General features: G+C 43.8%; 1 protein-coding gene across 2 annotated transcripts; it reads left to right on the forward strand.

Moving 5' to 3' along the window:
- Window positions 1-773: 773 nt before the first annotated feature.
- Window positions 774-3,776, forward strand: SCGB2A2 (secretoglobin family 2A member 2). 2 transcript variants are annotated; one of them, NM_002411.4, is made up of 3 exons: window positions 774-887; window positions 1,497-1,684; window positions 3,573-3,776. In NM_002411.4, exons 1-3 carry the CDS (start codon window positions 833-835, stop codon window positions 3,609-3,611), a joined length of 282 nt encoding a protein of 93 aa, NP_002402.1. In that variant the 5' UTR covers window positions 774-832; the 3' UTR covers window positions 3,612-3,776. The 2 variants fall into 2 exon arrangements, with proteins under 2 accessions (NP_002402.1, XP_005274062.3); XM_005274005.4 differs by lacking the exon at window positions 3,573-3,776 and having other exon boundaries at window positions 1,497-1,819.
- Window positions 3,777-5,780: the final 2,004 nt, after the last annotated feature.

The raw sequence follows: 5,780 nt of genomic DNA on the forward strand, positions 1-5,780 counted from the left end.
CATGAGCCATTGCGACCGGCCATGAAACAATCTTTACATGAAGCATCCTTATACAAATTCTGCATGCTATCCCATTCCGCCTTTTATTTTCTTCAAGTGATGAAAAGGAAGGATGCTCAGAGAGACCAGCAAGGACATGGCAGGACTGCAAGTTGCATCCAGGGTCCAAACCCTCATCCCTGATTCCAAATTCCATCACCACCCACCACCCAGCACTGCCTGTCCAGCCCATCAGTTACGCTACTAATTCACAGCATCCTTTGAATCAGTGGAAAGAAAACCCTAAAAAGTTACCAAAGAACTAAACAAAGTTATCAATTAATTTATAATTAACCGAGATAATCCTTGTAAAAATAACTTTCAGCGGAGGGTGGATGGCCTTAAATTTCCCCACAAAAGGTAAAACTTTCCCAGACATCCCTTTCTGAAAATGAGATGTCAGTGGATGAGAAAAGCCTGCTCCCAAGAGTAGGTGTGAGGTATTGCACCTAGGCCCACTGCTGGGATAAGCTGGCACAGATACACGGGACATGATGCTTTCATTCTCACCTTAAAGAAAGAGACAGAGAAGAAAAGGAAGGGGAGCAAGTGGAGAAGGAATACAAGAAAGAGGAAGAGAAGCAGGAAGATTCTACATACAGGCTGGCTGTGTTTCCCCTGGGGCATGCTCCTGTTTACTGGTCCCATGCCAGGTTGACTCATTGCCTCGTTCATGGGTGGAATTAAGATGCCTACCTGGGGAATAAATAGAGCAAGGCTGGGTGCTCACCTCCACAGCGGCTTCCTTGATCCTTGCCACCCGCGACTGAACACCGACAGCAGCAGCCTCACCATGAAGTTGCTGATGGTCCTCATGCTGGCGGCCCTCTCCCAGCACTGCTACGCAGGTGAGTTCTGTGCAGGGAGGGCTGCCTCGGGGTTAGGGGTTGTCACTTGGGCCTCTATGGAAGAACTCCTGCTCCCCAATTCTCAGCAGAGATCAGCCCCAGTACAAAGGCTGTAGGTATAACAGATCTCACCATGTTGCCCAGGCTGGTCTTGAACTCCTGAGCTCAGGCAGTCTGTCCACCTCGGCCTCCCAAAGTGCTGGGATTATAGGTGTGAGCCACCACACTTGGCCTAAGATACTTGGAAATCTTCTGTGATGCTCTGAATGGTAATAGTGAAGCATCGTATGATTTTGAACCAAAGAAGACCAAATAATCTTCACGATATACTTCCAAGTCCGAGTGTTTCATTTCTCAAGTCTTCTCATTAAATGAAGTTTCATGAGGTTTAGCTTTTCTGGGCTGGGGAGTGGAGAGAAAGAAGTTGCAGGGCTTACAGGAAATCCCAGAGCCTGAGGTTTTCTCCCAGATTTGAGAACTCTAGATTCTGCATCATTATCTTTGAGTCTATATTCTCTTGGGCTGTAAGAAGATGAGGAATGTAATAGGTCTGCCCCAAGCCTTTCATGCCTTCTGTACCAAGCTTGTTTCCTTGTGCATCCTTCCCAGGCTCTGGCTGCCCCTTATTGGAGAATGTGATTTCCAAGACAATCAATCCACAAGTGTCTAAGACTGAATACAAAGAACTTCTTCAAGAGTTCATAGACGACAATGCCACTACAAATGCCATAGATGAATTGAAGGAATGTTTTCTTAACCAAACGGATGAAACTCTGAGCAATGTTGAGGTGTTTATGGTAATTTCATTTTCTTCCTATAAGCTTTTTAAATCCCCTGACCAGGGACAAGTGGGCTCTTCATTTCTCACTGACAATGCCAAAGCCACTAGTGAACAAGCCTTTTCTTACATTGGTTAATTTAGTTGAATGGTTAGTCTAATGACTTTGCCATCAAGAAAAACATCCAGTGTCCCTGTGTTGTCACTCTACCCAGAGAATCCTCAGTGGATGATAAATGAATAGGGCAAGAGAGGAAAAGGAAAGGTCGGTAGAAGTCTTACCTATCCCCAGAGCTCTCTAATTCATGCTCACAAACACAGACACAATCACACAAACACAGAAACACACATACACACATCCAGACACATGCAAACACACAGACACAGTCACAATCACACAAACACACACACATTCAGACATACACAAACATAGACAGACAGGCAAAGACACAGACACAGACACAGACACAATCACACCAGCACACAATCATCCAGACACAAACACAAACACACAGACAGAACCACACAACCACAGAAACACAGAGACACACACAAACACACTCAGACACACACATACAAACATATGTTCACTCTCTACAGAAAAAACAATTTTCCAGAAGACCCGCACCTATAGACCAATCTGCAGAGAAAACTTCTCTTCTTCAAAAAAAAGTAAAAGTGTTCTTTCTTAAAAAATGCCCTATTTTTCAACAGTTTGGAAAATACCATTTGAGCAAGATTCTATACATCTCAAATAAAAAGAATTTAAAATGCACTTCCAGGCAATCATAATTTGCTAGCATAAATGATGAGAAACCTTGGACTATCCAATAGGCAACTGTAGATCATGGGTATGAAACCACCATGGAGGAAGAATTGCCTCAAACAAAAACCAATAGTTTTGTATTTCTTTCTAACTATACATGTATATTGTTGAGGGTTTTCTTTAGCATTTATTCCCTATGTTAAATTCTTCTTTAATCCTTCCCTGGTAAAAAAAAAAAAAAAAAAAAAGTTAGAAATATACCAAACCCCTCCATTAGGATGAAAGTGAACATCACCTCAGGAAACCCTGACGCTTTCTACAACATGGATGAACCTTGAGGATATTATAGCGAGTGAAGAGTGAAGCAAAGAGTCACAAAAACACAAATGCTGCATGACCCATGCATATGGGAATCTGGGGAGCCAGACTCAGAGACAGTGAAAAAAAAAAAAACAGTGGTTGTCAGGGCTTGGGTGCAGAGAAGAAGGGGGAGTCATATTTAATGGGTCTGGAGTTTCAGTTGTGCAAAACAGTAATATTCTGGAGTTAGGTTGCACAACCACACGAATATACAGAACACTCCGAACTGTCCCCTTAAAATGGCAAATTTTATGAGATGTACATTTTACCACTATTAATAATTTGTTAAAAACTAATTATCAACTGCAGGGAAGGGTGATGGATTTGTTTCTTTAAAAGCTTCCTCAGACAGATCATAGTCTGCAGCTCCAATAATTAGTAGAGCACAATGGTGGTGGCAGAGGGCGTCGGACTGCTGGGATGCTGGGAATATTTCCACAATGGAGGGTTAGACGAGAGCTCAAAGTTTCACTTTTTTTTTTTTTTTTTTTTTTGCATTTGAGCTAAGATTTTAACAATCCTGTGAAAATAGGTAATATAGTCACGTATTTGTTGAATACATTATTTCAAAGAACCACAAACACACAGAAAAAATATTTAAAAAGTCCATGGTGGGGGAAATGATCCAGAAACAACAGCTCTTCTACTTCCAGCCCTAACCGTCTGGGATGCTAGATGGTTGTGGGCAAACCGTGGAAAAAGATAAGCTTCTGTTTTTCAAGATTTTATTTTGTTAGAGAGTGCAGAAAATCTAAGTGATGTCTCTGTTTTTGCTTTCTAGCAATTAATATATGACAGCAGTCTTTGTGATTTATTTTAACTTTCTGCAAGACCTTTGGCTCACAGAACTGCAGGGTATGGTGAGAAACCAACTACGGATTGCTGCAAACCACACCTTCTCTTTCTTATGTCTTTTTACTACAAACTACAAGACAATTGTTGAAACCTGCTATACATGTTTATTTTAATAAATTGATGGCAAAAACTGAAGTTTCTCTTTGTTCTACCGTAGAAAAGAGGCGTTAGAGGGCCTCACATATTTTACATACACACACACACACACTTACTTATTAAAGAACTCATGGTCATGGGTTGAGGACTCTGTGAAGCATTTGTTTCCTCAGTCTGACCTCTAAGCCTTGGTACTCTCTCTGAAGAGTGTTTCCCTGTCCCCATCCCACCACCTCCCCCGTCGACTCTCTCTGGAGTCCTCAGGCTCTGGGATGTGAGGCAGGGTTTCACTCAGAGGACCTGCTTTCACTCCAGTCCTCCCATCCACGCTGAGCCCTGCTGGCCATGTCAGGCTTCTCTGCGCTGTCTCTGGGCCTCCCCGAGATGTGCAGGGCCTGGGCCAGAGCCAGCCAGGGAGAGGAGTCCTGCAAAGCAGGGTGGCACCTGACTGGGTTTAAATTTTGTAATTTTTACTCATCATGGATGTTGGCTTCAGTTTAATTTATAAACTACTACAGGAAAATATTATTTTTAACCATATTATGTTATTATTTGAATCCTATGCAATATGACTACTGAGTTTAACAGTACCCCTATTAAGATTTTCAATGTCCTCTAGTCCTGTGCCTGTGGTGGGACTGGGGTCCATCCTCCGCTGTCCCGCAGTGAGCTGCAAAGGCAATGAGGGTTGAGGGGAGTGAGTGTGCTGTGCAGGGACCCAGCACAGCAGGGGATGTTTACATGGAACCTGGAGTCTCTTTCATGTCCTGTCCCCAGCATTCCTGTCACCAGGGGCAGTTATTGCCACCTGTTCTGCTTCTACCTCAGCCTGTCCCTCTTCTTTCTGAGGCTATCCCCTTGTAAGGTTTTTGTATCGGCTCGAACCCCAAGAACATACCAACAGACAACACGAGGCAGTGTGGAGCAACATGCTGTTTTAATGAGCGCCTGGAAGCAGGAGGGCTGAGGCCTAAAGTGGCATCAGCCTTAAGTGAGGATGGTGCAAAGGTTTTATAGTCTCCTGTAAACAGGAAGTGTCCTAGTCTGATGTAACTGCTATGTTATATCTGGATGGCCTCTTTCTCCGTCTTCAGGGGTATGTGTCTTCCGGCCGGCTCTCTTCCTGCTTCTGCTATCTTGCTGGTGCACCCCACTAGCACAAGTAGCCTTGTGCCTTGGGACTGAGCCTGAGAAGTGGGGAGCTCATCTCCTTAAGCTTTCAGGCCCTGGGGAGAATTTTACATTGCTGTCTATTTGGTTATGGAAAAAGGACGACTTTCTCAATAACCACTTCAGGTGTGACATGGGGTGGCATGGGCACCTTGGAAAAAGAAAAACTTAATTTTGGGGCTATTCTTGAGAGACAGGTTGGTATCCACCATGTCATTGTAGCAGGAGCATCATCTGGATTGTCTGGAAAGGTGTCTGTGCCTGCAAAACAGTTATGTTGAGAGGACAAGGAGGTGTCAACAGGGAGAGGCATGGCCTCATTTGCTGCTTCACGAATGAAAGACCATGTCTGGATTAAGAAGGGGAATAATTCCTGAGTGGCTCAGAGTCTGGTAAGGGTGGAGGCCCCAAGACAAAAGTTTGGCCATACATGATTTCAAAGGGACTATAGAAAGAGGGTGCTTTTGGTGTTGCGTGGAGTCTCATGAGGGTAAAAGGGAGATTTTTTGTCCACGACTGGGGGGTTTCTAGAAGCAGCTTGGTGAGTTGGGCTTTAAGGACAGAGTTCATTTTTTCAACTTTGCGTGAAGATTGAGGCCTGTAGGGTGTGTGGAGAACTTACTTTATTTTTAAAGATGTAGAGACACCTTGGGTGATTTGGCTGATGAAAGTGGGCCTGTTATCAGACTGGATGGATGTTGGGAGTCCAAAATGGGCAATTATATGCATGATGAGCATTTGCGTGATGATATTTGTACCTTCTGAAGTTATTGGGAATGCTCCTACCTACCTGGAGAAAGTACAGACAAAAACCAGAAGATAGTGGAGCAATTTATCAGGTGGCTTGTGGGTGAAGTCTACCGGCCAA

The sequence above is a fragment of the Homo sapiens genome, chromosome 11, assembly GCF_000001405.40.
Source record: "Homo sapiens chromosome 11, GRCh38.p14 Primary Assembly".
NCBI classification, from domain to species: Eukaryota; Metazoa; Chordata; class Mammalia; order Primates; family Hominidae; genus Homo; species Homo sapiens.

Excerpts from the sequence above, each read along its gene's own strand:
- SCGB2A2 (XM_005274005.4), top strand. The coding sequence starts at position 833 with ATGAAGTTGCTGATGGTCCTCATGCTGGCGGCCCTCTCCCAGCACTGC. Across the intron at positions 888-1,496 it reads CTCCCAGCACTGCTACGCAG|GCTCTGGCTGCCCCTTATTG; the intron begins GTGAGTTCTGTG and ends CATCCTTCCCAG.